The 27,045-nt window shown below is 37.3% G+C and overlaps 1 protein-coding gene across 38 annotated transcripts in view; it reads left to right on the top strand.

Annotated features, from left to right (window-relative positions):
• Positions 1-27,045, top strand: part of ZMYND11 (zinc finger MYND-type containing 11) — a 124,550-nt gene that overhangs the window by 36,686 nt on the left and 60,819 nt on the right. For 33 of the 38 annotated variants that reach the window (NR_163254.2, NM_001370103.2, NM_001370104.2 and 30 more), the window contains one exon: positions 13,221-13,355. The exons of the other annotated variants lie outside the window; for them this stretch is intronic. Coding sequence is in view for 28 of the 33 variants with exons in the window: in NM_001370103.2 (NP_001357032.1) it covers positions 13,240-13,355 (116 nt within the window). In the remaining 5 variants the exon portion in view is untranslated. Of the gene's footprint in view, positions 1-13,220; positions 13,356-27,045 lie in introns of those variants that run through there. 38 annotated transcript variants of the gene reach the window in all.

Raw genomic sequence — 27,045 nt, forward strand, 5'->3', positions numbered from 1 at the left:
AAGCAGATACTTGTATGCCAGTGTTCACTGCAGTCTCATTCACAGCATCTTTCAAAAGATGGAAACTACCCAAGTGTCCATCAACAGTTGAGTGGATAAACAAATTGTGATTTATCCATACGGTGGAATATTCTTCAGCCATAAGAAGAAATAAAGTACTGGCACGTGCAACAAAATGGATGAACCTAGAAAACACACTAATTGAAATAAGACAGACACAAAAGGACAAATACTGTATGATTCCACTCATGAAATATCTAGGCATATTAATAGATACAGAAAGTGGATTTGAGGATGCTAGGGGCTTGGAAGAGCAGAGAATGGGGAAGTATTATTTAATGGTCTGTAGTTTGGGGTGATAAAAATGTTTTAGAAATAGGAAATGGTGATGGTTGCAAAACACTGGGAATGTAAAGTAGTTAGTGCTGCCAGATTGTGTACTCAAAAATGGGTAAGATGGCAAATTCTATATTAATATATATTTCGCTACAGTTTTAAAAATAAATAATATTATGTTCCAAAAACCACTGAATTGTACACTTCAAATGGGTGAATTGTATGTGAATTATACCTCAATAAAGCTTTTCAAAAAATAAACAGGGTAACAATTTTCTCACCCACCATTTTGTTTTATAAACTGTTTTGTCAAATTGAAAAGTCCTGAAATATCCTTTTGCTTTACTAGTATAACTAAAAAAGTAATTAAAAAATTTTTTAAAAGGTGAATAGAGAGTTCATAATGACCTGTTTTGCTATCAGGAACCTTGATCAATGTGTTACATAGCAGTATTTCCCATTCTTAATCTAATGTACTTTGATCCAAACAAACAAAAAGCTACCAGGAGATCCATTCTAAGGGCTCTGTATTGCCAGTTATCCATGTTCTATGCCTGCCACATATGGAAAGCATACAGCAGATTGATTATCTTGGGGGCTCTTGGGGCAGTATTATTGATCTTTACTTTTCTTAATACCTGGTAGTTAACCATTTATTATTATAGACTAGATTAATTTCTCCTCCTATTTTTAAAGTTTTTTTTAATGTGGCAAATACACATAACATATAATTTATTATCTTTATCATTTTTAGGAGTACAGTTTAGTGTATTTAAATGCATTTATAATGTGCAATTCTCACCATCATCCATCTCTGTGATTCTTTTTATTTTGTAAAACTTAAACTCTATACCCATTAAACAGTAACTCTTGATACCCCCTGGCAACCAACAACTAATTTTTTAACATCTCAGGTTTGGCTGGGGAGAGTGTTGAATCAGTAAGTATTTATTTAGCATCTACTTTATGGTAAAAGTTATTAGGGGCATGAAGAAGGTTTAAAATATGGGATGCTTTAAAAAACTGACAATACTGCTGGGCAGACAATACTACATATGCAATAATTGTATAGGAATCAATGATAACATGGAATTTATTATAATTATACCTTGTATATATGTAGCTTATACATGCAAGTTATAATGAAAATTGTGGGGCACCAATAAAAGACCAAACACATTAAAAAAAACTAATGCTAGTATTGATAAGAATTTAATATATAATGCCAGGCATGGTGGTATGTGTACCTGTGGTCCCTCGGGAGGCTGAGGTAGGAGGATTACCTGAGCCCAGGAGAATGGAGTCCAGCCTGGGCAACATAGTAAGACTCTGTCTCTTAAAAGAAAATTTAACATATGATTAGGAATGTATCACATTTTGTTGGAGAAGAGAAAAATCCTTCAGTGAATCATACTAGTTCAGTGGTTGCTTCTTCAGGGAAACATTCTGTATTTTCATTTAATGCCACATTCAAAAAGTGATTCCATGGTTTACAGCCTGGCATGTAAGGAGCTCATAAGTAACCATGCTGTCCTAACAACAAGTAAAAAGCTGAACAAGCAAAAATAATAATAATAAACAAAACTCTTTTAGATCCATCAGGGAAGTGAAACCATGGGGTGTACTGCTGCACCAAAAATTGGAGAGACAGATAGGTAGATATAAAGAATCACAACTTACCGGAACACAAACCCACAAGGAAAAACCTCTGTGGGGATCAGTGCTGGAGTAGGAAAGGCTGAACTGTAATTGATGAATCGCTAGATGCCCAGTATGGACAACTCTGAGAGTTAGAAACTTCAGAGGGACCCAGTCACGGGGGAGGGCTGCCACAGTTTTGAGTTTTTACCTCTAGGAGCTTGACCTCACAGTGAATATTGAAGAAAAATCTCCTTGTGCTTCTTGGAGCGGGAGGGGGAAAGGGATCATTTTGAAATATGCAAGAGCTTTCTGTTCTTAACAAAGCCTACCCTCAGGAGACATGGTATTACCAAAGCCTAACCTACCTGGGGGAAGGGAAATACCTAACTCCAGCCTACTGTAGCTTTCTACATGGGGAAAGGGAAATATACAGCTTCAACCCCCTCCAGTCATCCTGTCCCACATAAGGGGGGAAACTGTACAGCCCTGGTGAAGTTCACAGTCCAGTGGCACAGGCTGTCTAAAGATTGAATCTAATCATAGGACTAAGACGGCCTCCCTTCCCCACACCTTACACTATGTTATTAAAGTCCTATTTAGCAAGATTCCTTTTACCCAGTACATAACGTTGACCTTTCAGCAAAAAATCACAAGGCCTACTAAAAAGCAAAAAACAACAGTGTGAAGAAACTGAACAAGCATCAGAACTAGAGTCAGATATGGCAGGAATGTTGGAATAATCAGACCAGGGGTTATTAAAAACTATGATTAAAATGCTAAGAGTTTTAATGCCAAAACATGGGCAACAAGAATAAATGGACGATATAAGCATAGAGATGGAAATTCTAAGAAGGAATCAAGAAGTGCGAGAGATCAAAAACACTAACAGACCGTAAAAAGCCTTTGGTGGGCTTATCAGTAGACTGGACGTGACTAAGGAGAGAATCTCTGAATGTGAGCATATGACAACTAGAAATCTTCAGAACTGAAAAGCAGAGAGAGACAAGTCTGGGGAAAAAACCAATCGACAACAGAATATTCAAGAACTACAGGAAAGCTATGAAAGATGTAATATATGTATAATGGGAATACCAGAAGGGAAGAAGGAGCGAAAGGGACAGAAGCAATATTTGAGTCAAAAATGCTTGACAATTTCACCAGTATCAGACACCAACCAAAGATCAAGGAAGTTCAGAAAACACCAAGCAGGCTAAATGGCAAAAATATTATACCTAAGCATACCATATTCAAATGTCAGAAAAGTAAACTTGAAAGAATCCAGAGGAATAAACACTTTACCTATAGAGGAGCACAGTTAAGAATTACATCTGACTTTTCTTCAGAAACCATGCAAGCAGGACGAGTTGGAATGAAATGAAATGTTGAAAGAAAAAACCCCACCAACCTAGGATTCTGTGTCCAGCAAAACTATATCTTTCATAAAAAGTAAAGATACAGACTTTCTCAGACAAAATTAAGGGAATTTTTTGCCTTGTAATAAATGTTAAAAAAAGTTCTTCAGAAAGAAGGCAAATTATTTCAGTTAGAAACCTGGATGTAGATGAAGAAAGGAAGGCCATTCAAGAAGGAATAAGGAAATGTAAAATAAAAATTTTTTCTTCCTACTAACAGATAATTTTTTCGAAACAATAATAGTAACTGTGTATTTGATTATGTGTGCGTGTGTGTGTGTGTGTGTGTGTGTGCGTGCTTATGGGTAAGTAAAATGAATGACAGTTTATGTGTAAGTAAAATGAATGACAGTTTGTAAGTGAAATGGCACAAGGGACTAGAGGGAAGAATTCAGAATATTGTGTTACTATAAGGTACTTTCACTGCCCATGAAGCAGTATAATGTTATTCGAAAGTGGACTTGGGTTAATTGTAATGTATGTTGCAAACTCTAGGGAAACCACTACAAATAGTAAAGCAAGAAGTATAATTGATGTGATAAGAAAGGAGAGAAAATTGAATTGCATAGAATGCTCAACTAAAACCACAAAAGGTAGAAAAAGTGTGGAAGACAGAAATAAGAATAACAAAGTCAACCAATGGAACATAGTGACAAACATGGTAGATATTAATCTAACTGTATTAATAATCACTTGAAATATGGCCTAAACACAGCCATTAAAAGACAGAGATTGTGAGAGTGGGTCAAAAAAGTCAACCCAACAATATCTTGACTGCCAGAAACCCACTTTAAATATACAGATTGAAGAGATAAAGAATATAGCATGGTAACACTAATGAAAAGAAAATCAGAATAGCTATATCAGTTTCAGACAAAGGACTTCAGAGGTAGGGAAGTTATAAGGGATAAAGGTGGGCAGTACATAATGATAAAGGAGTCAATATTCTAAGAAGGCATAACAGTGCTTAATGTGTACGCACCTAACAACCAAGCATCAGAATATATGACACAAAAACTGATAGAACTGCAAGGAGAAATAAATGAATCCACTACTATAGTTGGAGATATCAATATGCCTCTAGCAAAAATAGATTGATCTAGCAGGCAGAAAGTTGGTAAGGACGTAGTTGAACTCAAAAACATCAATCAACTGGATATAATTGACATCTATAGATTACATTATTCAATAATAGCAGATCACACGTTCTTCTGAAGGTCACACAGAACATTCACCAACATAGACCACATTCGATGCCATAAAACAGACCTTAATAAACTTAATAGAAATAATATATCTGCTGTCAGACCACAGTGGAATGAAGTTTGAAATTAATAACAGAAAGCTGGGAAATCCCCAAATATATTGAGATTAAACACACACTTCTGAATAACAGGGCTCAAAGAATAAATCTTGAGGAACTTTTAAATATTTGCAACTAAATGAGAATAAAAATAGTTTATCAAAATCACATGATCTTACCAACAGATACAGAAGGAGAATTTGACAAAACCCAACATTCTTTCATAAAAACTCCCAAGAAACTAGGAATAAAAGGGAGCTTCCTTGACTTGTTAAAGAATATCTTTACAAACCCTACAGCTAACATCATACTTAATGGTAAGGAACTTGAAGCTTTTCCATTAAGATCAGGAACAAGGCAAGAATGTCCCCTCACCACACTGCCTTTCAATGTCATATAGGAAGTCCTAGCTGTCTTACTCTATTCCTGCTGCTGTAACAAAATACCACAGACTGGGTAATTTATAAATAACAGAAGTTTATTTCTCACAGTTCTGCATGCTGGGAAGTCCAAGATCAAAACCATCAGCAGATTCAGTGTCTGGTAAGGGTTACTCTGCTTCCAAGATGATACTTTATTGCTGTGTCCTCACATGGCAGAAGAGATGGAATGGCCAGGCACGTCTCTGAAGCCTCTTTTATAAGGGCATTAATCCCATTCATGAGGGCAGAGCCCCCATGGCCCAATCACCTCCCAAAGTCTTCACCTCGTAATGCCGTCACCTTGGGGTTTAATTTCCCACGTGAATTTTGGAGAAACGAAAACATTCAAACTGCAGTACTAGCTAATGCAATAAGATAATAAACAGAAATAAGAAGCAAATAGATTGGGAAAAAAGAAATAAAACTGTCTTTGTTGACAGATGACATGATCATTTATATAGCAAATCCAAAAGAATTAACAAAAACACCCTGGAACTACTAAGTGGTTGTAGCCAAGTTGCAGGATATGAGGGTAATATACAAAAATCTATCACTTTCCTATTTATCAGCAATGAACAAGTGTAATGTGAAATTGAAAGCATATTATCATTTACATTAGTACCCCCGAAATGAAATGCTTAGGTAGAAATCTAATAAATTGTGGACAAGATGTATATCAGGAAGACTGCAGAGCTCTGATGATAGAGATAAAAGATTAAATAAATGATGAGATATTCCATGTTCATGGATAGGAAAACAATATTGTCAAGATGTCCATTCTTCCCACTTTTATGTATGGATTCATGTAGTCTCAATCAGAATCCCAGCAAGTTATTTCATGGATATCAACAAACTGATTCTAAAGTTTATATGCAGAGACAAAATACCCAAAATAGTCATCATACTATTGAAGGACAAAGTCTGAGGACTGATACTACCTGACTTAAAGACTTACTGTAAACTTTAGTGACCAAGACAATGTGGCATTGGTGACAGGACAAATAGATGGATGGAACAGAATAGAGAACCCAGAAATACTCACATAAATACAGTCAGTTCAACTTTTACCAAGGAGCAGAGGCAATACATTGGAGCAAAAAATAGCCCTTGAGGAAATGGTGCTGGAACAAATGGACATCCACTTTCAGAAAAAAAAAAAAAGAAGAATCATCTAGGCAAAGACCTTACATCCCTCACAAAAATTAACTGAAAATGGATCAGAGACCTAAATGTAAAATACAAAACTGTAAAACTCTTAGGCAATAGCATAGGAGGAAACCTAGATTACCTTTTGTGTGGTGATAATATTTTAGGTACAACAGCAAAGGCATGATCCATGAAGGAGAGAATTGATAAGCTGGACTTCGTTAAAATTTAATACTTTTGTTCTGTCAAAGATAATGTCAAGAAAAATTTAATACTTTTGTTCTGTCAAAGATAATGTCAAGAAATTGTGATGACAGGCTACAGACTGGGAGAAAATATTTGCAAAAGACACATCTGATAAAGGACCATCAAGCAAAACATACAAAGAACGTCTAACATTAAATAATAAGAAAATGAAGAACATGTTCTAGAAATGGACAGAAGGGCAAAGGTGGGAGGATCACTTGAGGCCCAGAATTGGAGACCAACCTGGGTAACATAGCATAATCCTGCCTCTCCAAAACATTAACAAATAAAACATGAGCAGGGCATGGTGGTGCATGCCTGTAGTCCTAGCTACTCTAGAGTCTAAGGAGGATCGCTTGAGCCCAGGAATTTGAGGTTATAGTTAGCTTTGACTGCACTTCAGACTGGGTGACAGAGTGAGACCCTGTTTCAAAAATACTAAAAAAAAAATTTTTTTAAGGGCAAAAGACCTGGCTGGACACCTCACCAAAGAAATACAGATGACACATAAACATATGAAAATACATTCAATATCATATATCATTAGGGAATTAAAAATTAAAACATCAATGAGGTATTACCACATACTTATAAGAATGGCTCAGATCCAAAACACTGACAATACCAAATGTTGATGAGGATGTGGAACAATAGAAGCGCTCAGTCATTGCTGGTGGAAGTGCAAAATGGTCCGGTCACTTGGGAAGACAGTTTGGCAGGTTGTTATACAACTGAACATTTTCTAACCGTACGAACCAGCAGCTACACTCCTTGGTATTTACCCTTATGAATTGAAAACTTATGTGCACATAAAAACATGCACATGGATGTTTATAGCAGCTTTGTTTTGATTGCCAAAACTTAGAAGCAACCTTTCCTCGAGTAGGTGAATGGATGAACTGTGTTATATGCAGCCAGTGGAATGTTATTCAGTACTAAAAAGTAACAGTCTATCATGCCATAAAAAGCTATGGAGGAAACTTAATGCATATTACTAAGTGAAGGAGGCCAACCTGAAAAGGCCACATACTGTATGATTCCAACTGTGTGACATCTTGGAAAAGGCAAAACTGTGGAGACAGTAGTAAAAAGACCAGTGGTTGCCAAGGGTTAGGGAAGGAAGGGATGAATAGGTGGAGCACAGACAATTTTTAATTCAGTGGAACTATTCTGTATGGGCACTACCGTGGCACATGCTTGTCATTCATACATTGGTCAAAACCCATGTGCACTACAGTGGCACGTGCTTGTCATTCATACATTAGTCAAAACCCATGGGCATTACAGTGGCACATGCTTGTCATTCATACATTGGTCAAAACCCATGAGTACTACAGTGGCACGTGCTTGTCATTCATACATTAGTCAAAACCCATGGGCATTACAGTGGCACGTGCTTGTCATTCATACATTGGTCAAAACCCATGAGTACTACAGTGGCACATGCTTGTCATTCATACATTGGTCAAAACCCAAGGGCACTACAGTGGCACATGCTTGTCATTCATACATTGGTCAAAACTCACGGGCACTACAGTGGCACATGCTTGTCATTCATACATTGGTCAGAACCCATGGGCACTACAGTGGCACATGCTTGTCATTCATACATTGGTCAGAACCCATGGGCACTACAGTGGCACATGCTTGTCATTCATACATTGGTCAGAACCCATGGGCACTACAGTGGCACATGCTTGTCATTCATACGTTGGTCAGAACCCATGGGCACTACAGTGGCACATGCTTGTCATTCATACGTTGGTCAGAACCCATGGAATGTACAACACCAAGAGTGAACCCTAATGTATACTGTGGACCTTGGGTCATAATGATATGTCAGTGTAGGTTTGTTGATTTTTAACAAATGTATTGCTCTGGTGTGGGATGTTGATAATAGGGGAGGCTGTGCATGTGCATTTGTGGGGCCAGGGAGTATGTGGGAGCTCTGTATTTTCCACTCAATTTTGCTGTGAACTTAAAATTGCTCTAAAAAATAAAGTTTACTAATCATAATTTTAAAAAAGTAATTCTCCCCAGCACTTTGCGAGGCCTAGGTGGGCGGATCACCTGAGGTCAGGAGTTCAAGACCAGCCTGGCCAACATGGCGAAACCCCATCTCTACTAAAAATACAAAAATTACCCAGCTGTGGTGGCGCACGCCTGTAATCCTAGCTACAACGGGAGGCTGATGCAGGAGAATCACTTGAACCTGGGAGGTGGAGGTTGCAGTGAGCCGAAATCACACCATTGCACTCCAGCCTGGGTGACAAGAGCGAAACTCCGCCTCAAAAAATAAAAAACAAAAATAAAAAACTACAAAATATAATTGCGTATTTTTCTGATTTGAGTGTAGAAGGACTTCTGATCACAAAAGCAATGATAAAGGAATACATAGCTAGATTTCAGTAAAATTGTATTTAGTGTTTATTAAGAGGCAAAGAGAAAAGCATTGTATGGATAAACCTAATATAAAAATTAATATATAAATGGGAAAATGGTATGAATAGACAATGAAAAATAATTTAAAAGTGCTAATACACTTTGGGGAAAAGTAATAATATTTGATGCAAATATTTGAAAACATTTTATGCAGTATACTGATAAAAAACCTGAACCTACCACCAGAAGTAAAAATCGAACCTATTTGGTGTTTTGAATTTTCACACTGTGCTCCTCCATCTCTCTTCCCTGCACCCTCAACTGTTCTTGTTAACTATTGTGTTTATCGTTTCCTTAAAGCAGTTTTCACAAATATGTATATATCACCAAGCAACTTCTTGTTTAATTTTGCTTATTCTTAAGTTTTTTTCTGACGTGTTTTCTCCTTTATTCTCCCTTTTGCCCTCACCCCAGTTTGTGTAGAAGTAGTGTGGATATAAAGTGACACTTCTGTAGACTGAGGAGATTGCAGTACATCTGGATTTGTTGGGATAGAGAATATCAGTATCACCTAGGGGCTTATTAAAGTTACTCAGAAGTTTTTGCTACTTTTTATTTTTTTTTTTAACTACAGGCTTCTTGAGAATCATGGTCTACTTTTACCAAAAGGAGCCTGTAATATTCCTCAAATGTGTTGGAGCAGAACAAAGATTGAAGACTGTATTAATGATCTCTACAAAGAGTCTTCTGTTCTTTCTTTTTGATGTCTCAATCTTTGATAAAACATAAATGAAGGTTCACTCTGGGCTCTTGTTATTTACATAACAGCTGAAAAAAAGTGAATTTAATAATTTTATATTGAAGGTTTAGTATGTTCAAAATTGCTAGGCACCTTGAAAAACATGAGTTATAAAAATGAATAAGACGTATCTTAGTTGAATTAAAACAATTCTTTTGAGGAATTTTGTACAAAATACTTTTGTACAAAAGCAATACATTTGTAAGAGATGTATAAACAAATTGATATTAGAATACAGAGGACAATTGAGTTTTATTTGGTTTGATTCCAGGAGAAAAGCCTGGTCAGGGAAAATTGCATTAAAGTAGATCCTAGAAAGGATAGGGAAATTTTTAATAATTGGTAAGGGGCAGGGGAGAACATTCCAGGGAGAGAGAACTGCATAAACAAAGAGATGGAGGTGTGAAGTTTGGGAGCATAATTGGGAACTGTGAGCAGTAATGCAATGTGCACTCAGATAAGGATGGACTGTAAGATTTGGTTTGGCCATATCAACAAGGACCTTAAGTAATCAGCTCTCTGTACCCAGGATTCTAAGACTTTCTTTTTATTGATGAACACTCAAATTGCTGTTCTTTTCTTATATCTAGTCACATCACTAGTCATGTACTGGATGAGAGAAGGATTTTTGTCCGTTTTGCTTATTGCTATATCCCTAGAGCATAGAAGAGCACCTGGTGTGTAACACGCATATATGAATTATATGTTAAATGAGTGAATGAATTTAGATTTCATAAGAAAGGATAATTTATGGTTGCACTTTAAAGAGATCTTGCCTCCATGGGTCAAGTTGTTTTTGGTACCTTTGTAATATGCCTCAAACTTCATTGTATTTCTCTCACTTGGATTTGTCTTTCCCTGGCATTTTTTGCAATGTTCTACGTGGGCTCTTATAACTAATGATCATCCTCCTTATAGTGTACCTGTATTACAAGGTATGTTTATTTTCTGTGACTTGATTCAGGTAGTTCTCAAAATCTTTGATTTTTAACTTCACACCTGTTTTTCTGAGATGTAGCATTGCTTCATTCTTTAATCTTGATTTTAATCATTTCTGGGAATCTGTGACATCACTTTTAGAGTTTCTGCTACTTAGTCCCCACTACATTCTTCTGGTTATGTTATATAAATAGTTACATTTACTATTTATTATGGTATTATTTTAAAATGTTAGCTTTGCTGTTAAATTTAACATTTTACATTTTACAGCTTTGCTGTATTTTTTATAGTTCTGAGCAAATTATTCATATTCTTACATATCATGAATTGTGAAAAAAAATTTACAAGTTGACTTGTTACCTATACCTATATGTATTATTCTTCAGTGTTTGCTCTAGAAATTATAATATGCATCCTTAATTTACAATAGCCTCCCTTGAATTAATATACTACTACTTGCGTAAAATATAGGAAATTTATAATAATATATTTCTGCTTACTCCCACTTCCCTTCCTTTGTGCTTTGGTTGTTATATATTTTATTTCTACGTGTGTTATAAGCCTAATGACATCTATCAATTATTTTTATCTTTGCTTTAAACTGCCAATTATCTTTTAAAGAAATTAAGAAAGGGAAAAATTGGCTTTTACATTTTCCTACATATTTACCATTTTGCAGAGTTCCTCATCTCTTTCTGCTGAAATTTTACCTCAGCGAGAAGTAGTGTCTCCCTTGTCTGAATTTTTATAGCACATATTGTGGACCATTTATATGTCATATATGACCTTACAGTTAGTTCCATGTATATGTCAAATTTCCTCTGCCAGTTTTAGATTATTTTCTTGGCAAGGGTCGCCGTTTATACAGTTTTAACTACTTCATTGTGTCTAGCACAGTGCCTTAGATAAAGTGGACACCTGTATATATTTTTAACTATGTAAGAATGAGTGAAACTTTGTTCATTTATCTGAGTATTTATATAATCTCACAGGATTGAGTTGTATTATTACAGTTCACCATTAGATGTCACTTTCTGACATATGTTAAATCCTTACCAATGAATTCCTTCCATTAAGGCATATTGGATTCTGAAAGTTGGTGCTCCAACACAAGTGCACTTAAACAGATAAATTTTTGTACATTTAAAAGTGATTACTGTCTAAAATGGAAGTGTTCCTAAGTTATAATTTTTATATTTTCATTATGTATAAATTTATACAGAACTAACTGATTTTCCTAAAGTTTTCTTTAGAACTTGAATACTGGTATTGTTTTTGAATTATTTGCTCTGTGGAGCAGCTTGGAACTATTAGAAGTAATAGTGTGAGAATATTCAGGAATACCTTTAAACATGTTCAAAATGTATTCTGATGGTGGTGTAATTCTGAAAGACATCTTATTTTAGGAGCCTGACTGACCCAGTTTTCTCAGGTTTTGATAGCAACTATATAGTTTATTTGTGTTTGCCTGAGAAAGGAGGGGAACTGAGTAGGCTGTGAAGAAACACAGAGGTAGAGAAAAAGGAGATTCCTGTGGCTGTCTTGGCCAGTCATGGAACACAGCAAAGTGCTTCCCTCCCTCATTCTCTAAACTTAAAAGATAGGAAAGGGCAGGTCAAGGAGATTTCAGCAATCTCAGAAGGCTTAATGTTCACTGTATATTTAAGAACCTAGATTTTAAACTCAGCATGATAACATGTATGATCTAGAGAGATGTTTCAGTGCGTCCCCAATGCTAGGATTCATGACAAACGCTTACCAGATTCCTACAAGCACGTCTCTCCATGCTGAGTTAAGAGAATCCTCTCTGTGATACCACTGCTCTCCGGACATCCAGGGTTTAACCTCTTTTCTTTCCCCATCTTGCCAGGAGACAGCAGGAAAATTATTGGGAGGTGGGAGGTGTGGTGGCAGTTTTCTTCAATTCATCTGGAATACTAAAATTTGAGTAAAATAACAATGCTGTTTCCTAATAGTGTAATAAATACCCCCAAAACTTACACCTAATCCAAGAATGTTACCATTCTTCATAATTTGTGACCTTCTAGTGTTCTGTCCCTCAACCTTTCACATCTCATTCCAGGAGTAACTTTCTTATATTTAATGTTCATGGTTTGATTTAAAATAATATTGTTTTCATATATCTATGTATGTATATAAAATTTGATTTTTAAGCCATGATTATAATAAACTAAAGTGCCAATTAGAATATTTAAATTCCATTTTGTATTGATCAAATTACAAACAACGCGATGTCAACAAATGAAGTTTTATCTTGGAGTATTTCTGTGTTTTAGAATAAACTTAAATGCATTTTCTGAAAGTATATTGGTATGAAGTGACCACTTATCCTTCCTGGGATAACCTTTTTAACTTTTTGGCTTTTAGAATGTCATTCTTCATGATGTAATGAAATGAATGATACTTTATATGAAGTAACTGGTGATGTGGATGGTAGAAAAAAATAGAAAGTGGGCAATACTACATACTAAGTATAATCAATAGTTGAGAGGTCCTGATAATGTTACTCACTTATACTGATAATTCATTTTGTAATCTGTTTTTTTCCCTTATGTTTTTGTTTATTACTGCAGCTAAAGAAGTAAACAGGTCATGGCACGTTTAACAAAAAGACGACAGGCGGATACAAAAGCTATCCAGCATCTTTGGGCAGCCATTGAGATTATACGGAACCAGAAGCAGATTGCCAACATTGACCGTATTACAAAGTAAGTAAATTTAAACACAAATATCTCTGTAAAATGTCGTAGAAGACTTTGGGGGAAAGGCCAAAAAAAATTTTATCTGTTATGCTAATCAACATATATTACAAAGAACTGAAGACACTTTTTGCTTTGCAGGAGTATTATTAGAAAAACAAACACAGAAACATACACAAACAACTTGTGTTTAGAAGTTTCATAGAAAAATTAGATAAGGAAAATATCACTATATACTATTTATAATAGTTTTTTAGTTAACCAAATTTTTAACTCTATTTATTGATTTATTTATTTTGAGACGGAGTCTCATTCTGTTGCCCAGGCTGGAGTGTGGTGACCCGATCTCAGCTCATGGCAACCTCCGCTTCCCGGGTTCAAGTGATTCTCCAGCCTCAGCCTCCCAAGTAGCTGGGATTACAGGCACCCGCCACCACGCCCAGCTAATTTTTTGTATTTTTAGTAGAGAGAGGGTTTCACCATGTTGGCCAGGCTGATCTCAAACTCCTGACCTCGTGATTCGCCCGCCTTGGCGTCCCAAAGTGCTGGGATTTACAGGCGTGAGCCACTGCACCTGGCCAGAGATTCTTTTATTAAAAACACCTTTAGTGAATCACTTTTATGTAGCGAAGCTATCTAAAAACAGTCTACTGTTTATTACTAATTTTAACATAGGATAGGCATGGTATGTGTAGTAAGAAACATCTTACTACTTTATAGCCCACTAACAGAATTTTTAACAATTTCCTTCTGTATTTTAGAAATCATGTTAAATAAACATTCAGTTTTAAAGAAGAAAATTGTCCACCCCCATCCCCTAGTTTCTCATGCTATTTATATGGGTAGACAGATTCAGGATACCAAAAAAAAAAATCAAAGTACCTTATGAAGCTTCTATTTACATGTTGTATGCTAATTATAAGGGAGTCTTCAATTAGGAACTTGGTTTTGTTTTGTTTCTCTGGGTATTCTTAAAGATATAAAGCTAAATTTATCTTTTTTAAGTGTTTGGAATTTTAAAAATAATTTAGAGAAAATTTCTTGATACTTTTCACATTCTTTAGATGCTATGGGTAGAAATGGAGAATGGGAGTAATTTACAAAACTCACTTAAATAAATGCTTTTTTTGGCCTTTATTAATAAGTAATATATTGAGTTCCATGTATTTTTGTCCTTTCCCTGTATGCTGGTGAAGAAGATTACAAAGGCTACTTAACGATGGGCTCAGTGGCTCACGCCTGTAATCCCAGCACTTCAGCAGGCCAAGGCTGGTGGATCGCCTGAGCTCAGGAGTTTGAGACCAGCCTGGCCAACATGGTGAAACCCTGTCTCTGCCAAAGATACAAAAATTAGCCTGGTGTGGTGGTGCACACCTGTGGTCCCAACCACTCAGGAGGCTGAGGTGGGAGAATCACTTGAGCCTGGGAGGCAGAGGTTGCAGTGAGCCGAGGAAAGGCCACTGCACTCCAACCTGGGTAACAGTGAGACCCCTGTCTCACAACAAACCAACAAAGAAACCCAAAGGCTACTTAAGAGGGAAGAAAAAAGGAGATAGAGAAGGGGTGAGGATATATGTGGCTCCAATTCTGTACTCGCCTTTGTGGTATTTTAAAGCTATGTACAACTCCTTGCTCCTATAAGATAGTAGAAGAAAAAAAAGATAATACTATGTGAACAATAAGAATAAAATAAATAGTACATTATTTTAATTATTATGCTTTTAAATAAAGCACATAATTTGGGGTATGATAACTACATGCAAATGATGTTGATGTAAAACATTTTAAAAAAACTCAGAGTACAAAACAGTATTTTCTTATGGTTGAGATTTTTAAAAAACCATCCTTTACATAAAAATTGCTTAGAGAAGAATGTTTAAATAAAATAAGGTTTTCTTTGGATTCAGCTTTTTAAATTAAAATCATGTAAACATGACAGCCGTTTCAGTTTTTCAGATGACCTTTGTTCATCTGTAGCATGTTTCTCTAGAAGCTTTAGGGACATTTCTCTAAGCAGCTATCAGAATCTCCCAGTGTGAATGTTGCTGTTAGATTGTGACCACCTTCTAATCTGGGAGTAAGATAATTAACTCCCACAGTAATGGGTGGCAGATACCTGTTGGATTATTACAACACGTGTGTGTACATGTATACACATGTTAAACTGTAGTAAAAGACATGGAGATTAACAGGATTGCCTGCATCTCATTTTGCATTATGTATTATTGATAAGCATTCTTTTCTCTCCTTTCTTCATCAGCATAGCCTTAACTGATGCCAAGGCTTATTTTTCTTCATGTTGTAAGGTCCATAGTTTTACAATTAAATATGAATAAATTTATTTACCTACCAGATAGTCTTGGTTTTTATTAGTCTCATCTAAAGATGAAAAAGAAAAAGAAAGAATCAGAGGTTAAGTGCTTAAGACTGGGTCCCAAGTGTTTCCTCTTCCTCATCTCATCTGAGAGGTATGCCATGTTTATTTTTATTATGTAGCTCACATCAGAGCATCCTGTACTTCCTTCATAACATTAATCACATTTGTCATTGTTTCCCTGCTAGACAGCTCCAAGAAAGAACTGTCTAGAAAATTGCCTAACCCGGCCAGTGCCTTTGCTTCTTGGCTAATATTAATTTCCTTGTTTATTAAACTTGCCTAAGGTAAGTTAGGAAGTAGCATTGCATTATGGCAGGAAGTCAGATCTTTTGCTCTAAAGCCTAATACTCCTATTCTGTACTCTCGGTAGGTAAATACTTTTCAAGCCTTAGATTCATTTTCAATCAAGTCGCTCTGCTTAGTCAAGTCCGAACATAAAGATAATCTTTTAAACTTTGCAGATATCTTAAGGTACTGAAGGCTGTAGTAGGGTTACTGTCAAGAATGCATGTTAGTCATTAAGTTTCATTTCTTATTTTGACTGATGAGTGACGCCATTATAAAAAAAGCTACACGGTTTTTGTCAAGCATTAAAAGTTGTGGGCTTTGGGGTGACTGGCTCTTAGCCTGGTACACCCTAAACACTCTAGTTTACTTCTGTATAATGGTTTAGTTGTGCTTGCTTTTGTTCTTTTAATCTCTAGGTTTCTCTTCTTTTTTGTTGTTGGTTTTTTTTTTTTTTTGGAACTGATTGAAGAAACCTGGCCATTGGTTGTGATTTTTCCATAGTCCGGCTTTTGCTGATTGCATCCCTGTAGTCTAGTTTAACCTGTTGCTCAGTCCTTTTTATTTCATGGAGATTGATAGCTGCATCTGGTGGCTTGGGGGAGGGGGCAAGACTATTCCCTGGGAGTGGTATGTTCTACCATCAGGACACACATGATGTCAGTTGTTTCTCATTTTGTGATGTACATAGCAATTGACGCTAGATCCAGGAACTCATTAAGGACTGCCAAATGATAATCATCCAATCTATCTTTCCTTTTCTAACTGGACTGCTTCTATAAGGACATAGCTTCCCATCCTCTGCTATTTGGTTACCATGTGGTATGGTTCATATGGGAAAAGTAGAATAATTCATTCTCTTTATGTATTTAGCAGTTTTAAAAATAGGATCCTTTAATGGTAACCAATTAGATTTAAAAACAAATTGCCCTTTGGAATTCATGCATTTAATTACATTTCATATATTTCAGTCCATTTTCGACATACCCCTTATTGATGCTATCTTTGACCAGTTGGAGCCTGTGCAGTGCTGGCTCCTGAACTACTTTCTGCTTGTTATGAACAAGATGTTTCAGGATCTTCTTGTACATATCCTGCCCCAGGCCTGGAACCATTGATTTCTCCCAGGTGCTCTGGTTTCTTTTAGTTTTAAAATGTATTTTAAGAGCACCTCCTGGCTACTCAGTGTTGCTACTGGTGGGTCTGTCTTTCTAGGCCTTTGGACAGAGTTATGAAATGCATATACTTTTAAAAGATAAAAACACCTCCTGAGTTCATGCTGATATTTTCCATTGAACTTTGTGGCTACTGGGTTTTATTTACTTAACTCTTCTATCTAAAATCTTTATCTACTTTCTGACATGGTGAGAATCATGGTTCTCAGGGACATCATCTGTGATAAAATTTTAGAATCTCGTGTAGTCAGTTATTTTATGCAACATTAAATACACAGCTATTAGAATAAGAAAATCTTAAATATTCTATATACCATGTATAGTTATGATTATGTTATTATTTTCTTATCTACACACATCCTTATTTAGTTTGGAGCCTCTCTTAGTATGTTGGATCTTCTTTTCCTGTCTTCTGTATTTGTACTTTTTAATTCTTTTCATCTTTTTTCTTTTTGATTTTTAGTATTTTTCCTTCACTGCAACCTCTTTTTATGTAACATTATCTGGTGTATATTCATTTTTGTGTACCCTCTAATTTAGACTTCATTTCTGAAGTGATTTTTTTTCCATTTACTTCAAATGTTTAACTCAGAATTCTGACTTTTTCTTCTGATTTATAGCTTGTTTACCTTATATCATTTTCTTCATGTCTTTTCTCATGTGTTGAGACCGTAGATTCTAGCTTCCTTCTGTTTTGTCGGCTTGTCTTTCTGGCACATTTCTGACCATCAGGGTGTCATTCTGCTGCGTGTGCCATAGTCCTCTCTGTTGGTCATTCTTACGTGAAATCACTTTCCCTAAACTTGTGGCAGGGCAGAGTGGTTCTGAATACTCTTTCCAGATTTATGGCTCTAAAGTTCTCCCTATGCCATGTTTATGAAGTGGTAAAAATAGAGCCTAATTTTTCCTGAGATTTCCTGGGTTTTTCTCCATCTTTTCCCCGTTTTTTTTTGTGGAATCACCTTTTCTTATACTTAGGGTCTTTTCAACTGACTGCGGTAGTAGTTGTTACTTTTATTCGTAGCCTTTCTCTGTAATACCGGGCTTTGTCCTGGAAAGGAACTGTGACTGCTTAATTTTGAGTGTTTGTAGGCCCCATTAAGCTCTAGCTCCTTAAGAATTTACCACAAATTCATGAATTACCATGAGTCATCTGCAAATGGGAGTGTGTAAAATCCTGACCAGTTTCAGTGCTATTATCAAGTGGGCCTACTGTGCTTTCCAGCGAGTCTTTGTTGGGCATTTTACCCTCCTATACTCTCTGTTCCATTAGTATCTGTTGTGCCTCTCTGTCTTCTGTAAGGGTCTCGATACCAATCAGGATTGTAGCTCTCAGAGATTTGTTCTCACCTGCTCAAATTTTGGGATACATAGGAGTTCGCATGACCTAATTTTGTTGTACTGTGTATGTTGTCCAAAGGCATTTTGCTTTATTTGGTATTCTTCCAGTAACTCTATCTAGTAGGTTTGGGGAGATTTAAAAACTATGTTACCGTCATAATCATCCCATCTCACAACAATCTTGTGGTTTTTCTTTAAAAAAAAAAAAAAAAGCGTGGTGGGGGTGGGGGCGCGGGGTGGGCACAGTGGCTTGTGCCTATAATCCCAGCACTTTGGGAGGCTGAGGTGGGTGGATTGCCTGAGGTCAGGGGTTCGAGACCAGCCTTGCCAACATAGTGAAACCCTGTCTCTACTAAAAATACAAAAAATTAGCTGGGCTTGGTGGCAGGCACCTGTGCTCCCAGCTACTGGGGAGGCTGAGGCAGGAGAGTCACTTGAACCCGGGAGGCGGAGGTTGCAGTCAGTCAAGATTGCGCAATTGCACTCCAGCCTGGTCAACGAGTGAAACTCCGTCTCAAAAAAACAAAAAAACAAAAAAACAAAAAAAAAGACGGTTGCTAAAGGCACAGGCTATTTTCTGAAGTTTAAAAGTGGAGCCAAAAGCAAATAATTCCTTCTGACAGAGGTAAATCAAAGGAGTGTTCTCCATGTTGTGTACTACACTGGACACATCAGAATAAATGGCAGTATCATCTTCAAACACAGGATTCTTTTTTTTTTTTTTTCTTTTGAGACGGAGTCTGGCTCTTTCGCCCAGGTTGGAGTGCAGTGGAGCGATCTCGGCTCACTGCAAGCTCCGCCTCCCGGGTTCACACCATTCTCCTGCCTCAGCCTCCAGAGTAGCTAGGACTACAGGCGCCCACCAGGATGCCTGGCTAATTTTTTTTGTATTTTTAGTAGAGACGGGGTTTCACTGTGTTAGCCGGGATGGTCTCAATCTCCTGACCTTCTGATCTGCCCGCCTCGGCCTCCCAAAGTGCTGGGACTAGAGGTGTGAGCCACCGCGCCAGGCCAGGATTCTTAACATAGCAAGACTTGGGTTGCAGTTTAAAAAAGAAATTCCGGCCGGGCGCCATGGCTCACGCCTGTAATCCCAGCACTTAGGGAGACCGAGGCAGGCAGATCACGAGGTCAGGAGTTCGAGACTAGCCTGGCCAACATAGTGAAACCCTGTCCCTACTAAAAATACAAAAATTAGCTAGGCATGGTGGCGCACGCCTGTAGTCCCAGCTACTTGGGAGGCTGAGGCAGGAGAATCACTTGAATCTGGGAGACGGAGGTTGTGGTGAGCTGAGCTGAGATCGGGCCACTGCACTCAGACTGGGGAACAGAGCAGGACTCTCTCAAAAAAAAAAAAAAAAAAAAAAAAAAAAAAAAAAAAAGAAATCCCACAAGTAGAATTTGTGGCCATTTGAAGGATTTAAGTCTCAGATCCTCATAATTAATTGAATTCTTAGGGACTAATAATTCTCATCTCTGTAACAAAATAGGAGAACTTATCTGTTCTGAATGTTTGTTCCATCTAATTGTGATGGTATTTAACTTGGCGGAGTTCATAGCAGTAATCATTAGTTGTCACAATATCTCCCCAAGAAAGAGAGTTCCGAGTCTTTTTTTCCCCACATTCTTTTAATTTTCCTTTTTAAAAAACTGCTGATGTTGGCTCCTGCCTGAAATGCCAGCATTTTTGGAGGCTGAGATTGGGGGATCGCTTGAGAGTAGGAGTTTGAGAACAGCCTGAGCAACATATTGAGACCCTATCTCTACAAAAAATCTGAAAAATTAGCCAAGCATGGTGGTGCGTGCCTGTAGTCTCAGCTTCTTGGGAGGCTGAGGGAGGATCGCTTGAGCCCAGGAGATCAAGGCTGCAGTGAGCTGTGATTGTGCCACTGCACTCCAGCCTGGGAGACAGAGTGAGAACCTGTCTCAAAACAAAAACAAAACGAAACAAAAAAACCCTGCAAGTCTTATATCCAAGAAGGTAGTAGGGAAGGTACTGTAAGTTAGATAATCACTGCTAAGATGTTTTGAATATTTCAGATATTTAAAAACCATGGCTGGGCGCGGTGGCTCACGCCTGTAATCTCAGCACTTTGGGAGGCCGAGGCGGGCGGATCACAAGGTCAGGAGATCGAGACCATCTTGGCTAACACGGTGAAACCCCGTCTCTACTAAAAATACAAAAAATTAGCCGGGCGCGGTGGCGGGCGCCTGTAGTCCCAGCTACTCGGGAGGCTGAGGCAGGAGAATGGGGTGAACCCGGGAGGCGGAGCTTGCAGTGAGCCGAGATTGCGCCACTGCAATCCGGCCTGGGCTAAACAGCGGGACTCCGTCTCAAAAAAAAAAAAAAAACCATACCCAAGATAAACTTCTTTAACAAGCTCCAACATTTTGGCATGGAAAATATTAAAAGGGTCAGTCTGAAATCAAAATATGTATATGTGGTTAAGTCTGATTTTTGATTAACGATGAAACTGCCCCTCTGATTTAAAGCTATATTTATAAATTTGATTTAATGATAATATGAAATTCTATGGATGACCTCATTTGGGAGCTAAATAAGCACAAATAAATTTTGGCCTATCAGCGAAAACATTTTACATTTTTAGAAACTGGAGGATATTTTGTGATGTTTAATCATTGTAAAATGGAAACAAATTAGTCATTTTATCATGAAGAAGAAAATGCCGTAGTAAGTTGAGGGTTATGTGTGAAGATAAGCACAGGCAATAGCAGCTTCTCTTTTCAGTTTAAATGTCTGTAAATGCTAAATTATAGCTAGCACATATGAATTAATCAGTTTTGTGTAATTTGAATAGGTATCATAATAAACTTTTGAAAGTTATTTAACAGTAATATTAAATATTTATAAAATATTTTTATGCTTAAGATGTTAGCCCTCGTTTTACACATTATAAATCAAGAAGTAAAGGATGAAGAATCATGTAACAACAAAATCAGTGACAAGTGAAATTTAAACTTTGAATCACTGACTTTCCCAGTATGAGACCATGTGCTGTGGTTCACACCTGTAATCCCGGCACTTTGGGAGGCTGAGGCAGGTGGATCGCTTGAGCTCAGGAGCTTCAAAACCAGCCTGGGCAACATAATGAGACCCCATCTCTACAAAAAAAAAAACCACAAAATTAGCCGGGTGTGGTGGTGTATGCCTGTAGTCCCAGCTACTCAGGAGGCTGAGGAGGGAGGATGGCTTGAGCCTGGAAGGTTGAGTTACGGTGAGCCATGATTGTTCCACTGTGCTCCGGCCTGGGCAACAGAGTGAGACCCTGTCTCAAAAAAAAAAAAAAAAAAATTTCCCAGTATGATTCATAACTCATTGTCATGTTATTTCTCTAGATGCCGTGTCTATTTTAGTATCCATTAAAAACAAGTTACATATATCACTTCCTTTTCTTCTTTAATCCAAACAAATTAGTCACATCTGATTTGGACTATTATGACTTGGCTTTAGAGGTTTATAATTATTTTAAGTAATGGTTATAAGATAGTTTAAAGACATACTGTTGAAATAAGTACAGATTTTATACTAGTCTCTACTGGCATTGTTGGCTAGAGTGTGTGATTGAGGGAGGTTGGCTTGTTAATTATGGACTACTAGAAAAAGCAATTGAAGTATTGGACCTATATGTTTCCTTCCTGTCTTGGGCAACTTTAATTTTGTGTTTCTAGTGGTGATTACACTGTGAGTAGTATGATTAAACTAGCATTGGATTGGTAGACTAGTCCCACTCAAGTGAATGTTTCAGGTTAGGGCATCAATTAATTACTTGCGTTGCTTACTTTACGGTCAGACCCCAGTTAGAAAATGTGACCTCTGACCTCTTGTGACATGTTTGGCATTGACATTTCTGAGTTCTCCTGGAGTTCTTCCTGTCGCTACAGATATACATAAACGCAAACTGTAAGTCCTCATCACGTGCAGGTTGCGTGTGAAATTTCAACTAGGTACACATTATTTCTTTAACTTTTTGAAAACACTTTCCAGGAACTGTTTATTTATGTAAGTTAAATTTTGCTATGTCTCACTGTCAATTTCTCTTCCTTCACTGGAATTATTGGAGAGGAAGAGAATAGCCATTGCCTAAGTTACTTCTTTGGAAATAAGTTCATTAAAAAACAACTGATTAGTATTATACTGTTTATGTAATCCCAAGGATTCTCCACAGAATTGCCTGTTGTATTCTCATTTCCATCTATATTGATTGTTTCTTACATATCTTATTATGAAACCAGATTGGCAGGTATACTGTTATTATTGTATACAATAATGGCCTTACAGAAGAAGTAACTGATTCTGAATAAGTAGAGTCCACAGTGAGTTTTTTCCAGCATGCCAAATTCTTAGGACATTCACCTTGCCTTGGGTTGTTGTCTAGCTGTTTTCATGTATTTCACATTTCTTTGCATGTCTATGAAGAAAAACATACAAGGCACATAAAATAATAAGGCGGTAGTACCAAATAACAGGAGAGGGTCAGTACCACAGATTGGAGTCTATCAGTTTACAACACTATAGACCTTATTTGAGGGGACAGTCACTGTGAGAATGCTTGGGATGCCTTGTGAAGGGTACAGAAATAGTCAGGCCTTGATATTTCGATGGGATTCGACAAGGCAGAGAGGCGAGTCAAAGCATAGACTGTCTGGATCAAGCAGAGGGACTGTAGGGCTTAAGGGAAAGTGGATAAAAAGGCAGAAAGAGTTAGACCAGCAGGGTCTTTAATGCTAGCATTGAAATTTTTATCCTGTAGCGAGAGGGGAATAGCAAATATTTTTTGAATGTAGAAATGGTAAAAGTAAAACACAGTCATTTTTTTCCACCGCAGCTGGATTGACTCGAGTCTGTCTGCTCTTCTCTGTTCTGGCCTGGGTTTTCATCCTTATGACTTTCTTGCCTGTTTTTCCAGCCCCTAGCTTTGCTAGTCTCTGTTTCTTCCCATCGTTGGTGTTAGAGATGCTTTTCAACAACATCATCAGATTGGTCCACTGTTGCAAACGTTTTCCTGCTGCCCGTGAAGTCCACATTCCCATGCATAGGTGTTGCTGTCTCGCCCTGCCTCTTCTGCACACCCTCCTGCAACTCCCCACTCTCCTTAGGCTCCGGCTGGGCTCTCGCAGGCCCTCAGATCTGCGTTTCCCATGCTCTGCCTTGGGACGCCCTTCCCAGACTCCTCCTTCAGGTGTTGGTGTTATCTCCTGACACCTTTAAGTCAACCTAATTCTGTCAGTTATTTTTCTAAATTTTAGGTCTGGTTATGCTCTTAAAATTCTCTTTTGATTTCCTCATTATTGATAAAGTCCAAATACCTGAGCAAGGCATTTGTACAAAGCTCTTTACAGTGAGACCCTGACGTTTCTTCTTTTCATACCCAGCGTCTCCCTACTCAGTGTTCCACCTGATGAGACTATTCTCAATTGCCTGAGCACTTTATGGATTCTTCATTTTGTATTTTTCCTTCATCAGTGGACAAAATCATACCCATTCTTTTAGGATCCAACTCAAATCTCCTTTGAGATTTTTGAGACATTCCTTATTCAAGCCCATTTTCCTTTCTCTTTGTTCCCTTAGTAATATATATATAGATATATAATTTGATTTCATTATTTATTAGTCTCTTAGGATCTTTGAAGAGCATTCTGCTTCCTTTTGATGGTGAGCACCTTGAGGGTAGGGTATATATATTTTCTATCTTTGTATCTTAGTGTGAGGAGTAGTAATTGGAACTTTAATAATATTCAGCTGTGTAAACTGTAGAAGTGGTTTGAAGGAGGGTTATAATAATTGATAACATTAAATAGTCATTATTTTGTGAAAAGCACTGTGCTTTATATAATTATTTAATTTTCACAACAACTGTGTGAGTTATGTTGTGATGAGTCCCCTTTTGTTGATAAAGCTTAGGAAGGTAAAATGGATGGCCCAAAGTTGGTGGCAGAACTAAAATTTTCATATAGATCCATCTGATATTGGAGTCCAAGCTCTTAACCATTAAATGTTTCCTTCCGGCATTTTTTAATGGATTTGTATCTTTGCAAACTTTGAAGTTTTCAAAACATGATCATCTGCATGGAACTAACACATTATCTCATTTCATCCTCACAACAACTGTGAAGTTTAAATTAGCCCCACCTTATAGGTAGGGAATGTGAGGCTATCAGGGTAAATTATTTATCCCAGGTCACGTGTTGGAATTGGGAAGAACCAAGTGCTTCAGGATGTATTCTGAAAAGTTAAAATGGCTGCAGTGATGAAGGAGCCCTAACAATGCTGTTGTAGGTTTTGAAGTGTATTGCTCTTTGTTCCATGCAATTTTGAAATATTTGTTTGCCATGAAATATTTTGTTTTATTTCTAAAAGTAACATAAATATATTACAAGATACTTGGAAAATAGAAAACAGAAAAATAACCCTCTGTAATTTCTCTACCCGAATTCAAATCAGATACTCATTTTGATTTTTTTTCCCATTCATTTTCCTACATGTGGTTGTTGTCTCAGCATCATTCAACCTTTTTCCATGTCATTGCTTGGCCACCGTAAGTTATTATCTGTAGTGGTTGCACAATGCACAGTGTTTCATCTGGCGAGACTGCACTGTAATATGAGCTGGGCAGGAGGAGAAACAAGATGAATGAATATTTGTTATATGACTTACGTTATCTTATTTACCCTCAAAACAACAGCATGGGGTTGACTTTACTAATTTTACTTCATAGATATGCAAATCGAGATGCAGTGAGGGTAAGTGACTTGTCCAAAGTTATGCAGCTAGTCAGTTGCAGAACAGATCTGTGTGACTTTGCAGGCCATGCTTTTCCACTCTGCTTTCACGGTGCCTGTATGTGTCATCTGTTAAATTCTTATAACAGCACTACATATTCCAGTTATACAAATGAAGAATGAGGCGAGAGCTTAGAGGGGGTGAAGTGTGCTAAGTAGCAGGAACTACTTATTTAAGTATTAAGTGTGAGGCACTGGACTACATTTTGCATCCGTGATATCATTTGGCTCCTCCTGCAGCCCTGTAGTATTGTCTGCCTTCTGACCATCATGCTGCCAGTGTTACAGTCTAGAATAACTTGAATGTTTTCAAGTTTTTCATTGTGCTCCATATCTCTTTGTACTTTTTCCCCGTTTTGAATTATTTCCTTGCTATGGACACTCAAGATGTCTTCAGTTTCCTTCCACCATAAATTACTATGACTTGCCCGACTTTTCAGTACCACAGATGACACTACAAGGAATTTGTTGGTCTGTCTGTCCAGAAAGAGAAATTCCTCCCTGATTTCAGGGTATGCACACAGGTGCCTAATCTGACTGAGCTCTCAAGAAGGGCCACCTCCGTCTTCGTGCTGGGTAGCGCTGTGCACAAGGGGTTTTATTTTCCTGCGTATCTGCATTTGCTTAGTGCTGTTCAGTTGCCCACATTTTGTCACTTGGATGTTTGAACTTGGCATTTCTTTATCTGTTAATGAGTTTAGGCAGCTCTTGGTGTTCTTATAAGGTTTTGGGTTTCCTCTTCTGTGAGTCCCTGTTACTCTCTGCTTGTTTTCCACTGGGATATTGTTACCTTTTTCTGTTGATTTACACGGGGTGCTCTTTATTCTAAACATTAATTCCCTTATAGGTTTTATGCTTTGTAAACTTCTTTTCTCATTCTGTCATCTGTTTATTTAACTTTTTCCATAGTTTTATTTCTTGAACAGAAATTTTAAGTTTTGAAATGATTGTATTCAATCTCTTCTGCCTAATGTCTTATGCTTTTGAAATTTTATTTTAAGAAGACCTTATCCTGAAGGAGGCCACAGAATATTCCCTACATTTTCTTTTACTAATTGTATAGTTTTATCATTATCAGATAGGTCTGCAATCCATCTGTAGTTCCCTTTTTATGTGGTAGGTAAGGATCTACTTTACCTTATTATCTTATGTTTCACTCCATAGTAAGTCTGCCTTTTGCTTTGGGATTTAAACTTGAAAATCAAAAACTCTTTTGGGAGATATTTTAGGGGCCCTTACAGCATTCCATATAGTTAAATTATTTATTAGCAGTACCGTTACTTGTGTGCCCTCTGACCCTGCAACCTCTGTATGGAGTAAGGATCTCTTTTGGATATGGGGTATCCCAAACACCTAGAACTAGTGACTGGCATGTGACATTCACTCAACAGTCTTCAATGATATTTGTTGAGTGCTAGGTGAATGTAGGCTTTTTTTCCTGCAGCTAGTTAGTCATTCTAACAAAAAGCTTGAAATCGTTAATAAAACCAGACTAATAGCTCTGCTGTTAACCAGCTGTGTTTCCTTGAGGAAGTCATTTTCTTTCCTTCCTCTGTAAACTAATGACCTGTGCAACCACCATCTCAATTAAGATTACAGGAAGTTTTTATCACCCCAAAAGTTCTTTGTACTCCTTTGTACTGCCTTCTGCTCCCTTCCATCATTGATTTGCCTACGGTCACTGTGATTAGCTTTGCCTGTTTTAGAATTTTATTTGAAT

This window comes from Homo sapiens, chromosome 10, assembly GCF_000001405.40.
Source record: "Homo sapiens chromosome 10, GRCh38.p14 Primary Assembly".
Taxonomy (NCBI): Eukaryota; Metazoa; Chordata; class Mammalia; order Primates; family Hominidae; genus Homo; species Homo sapiens.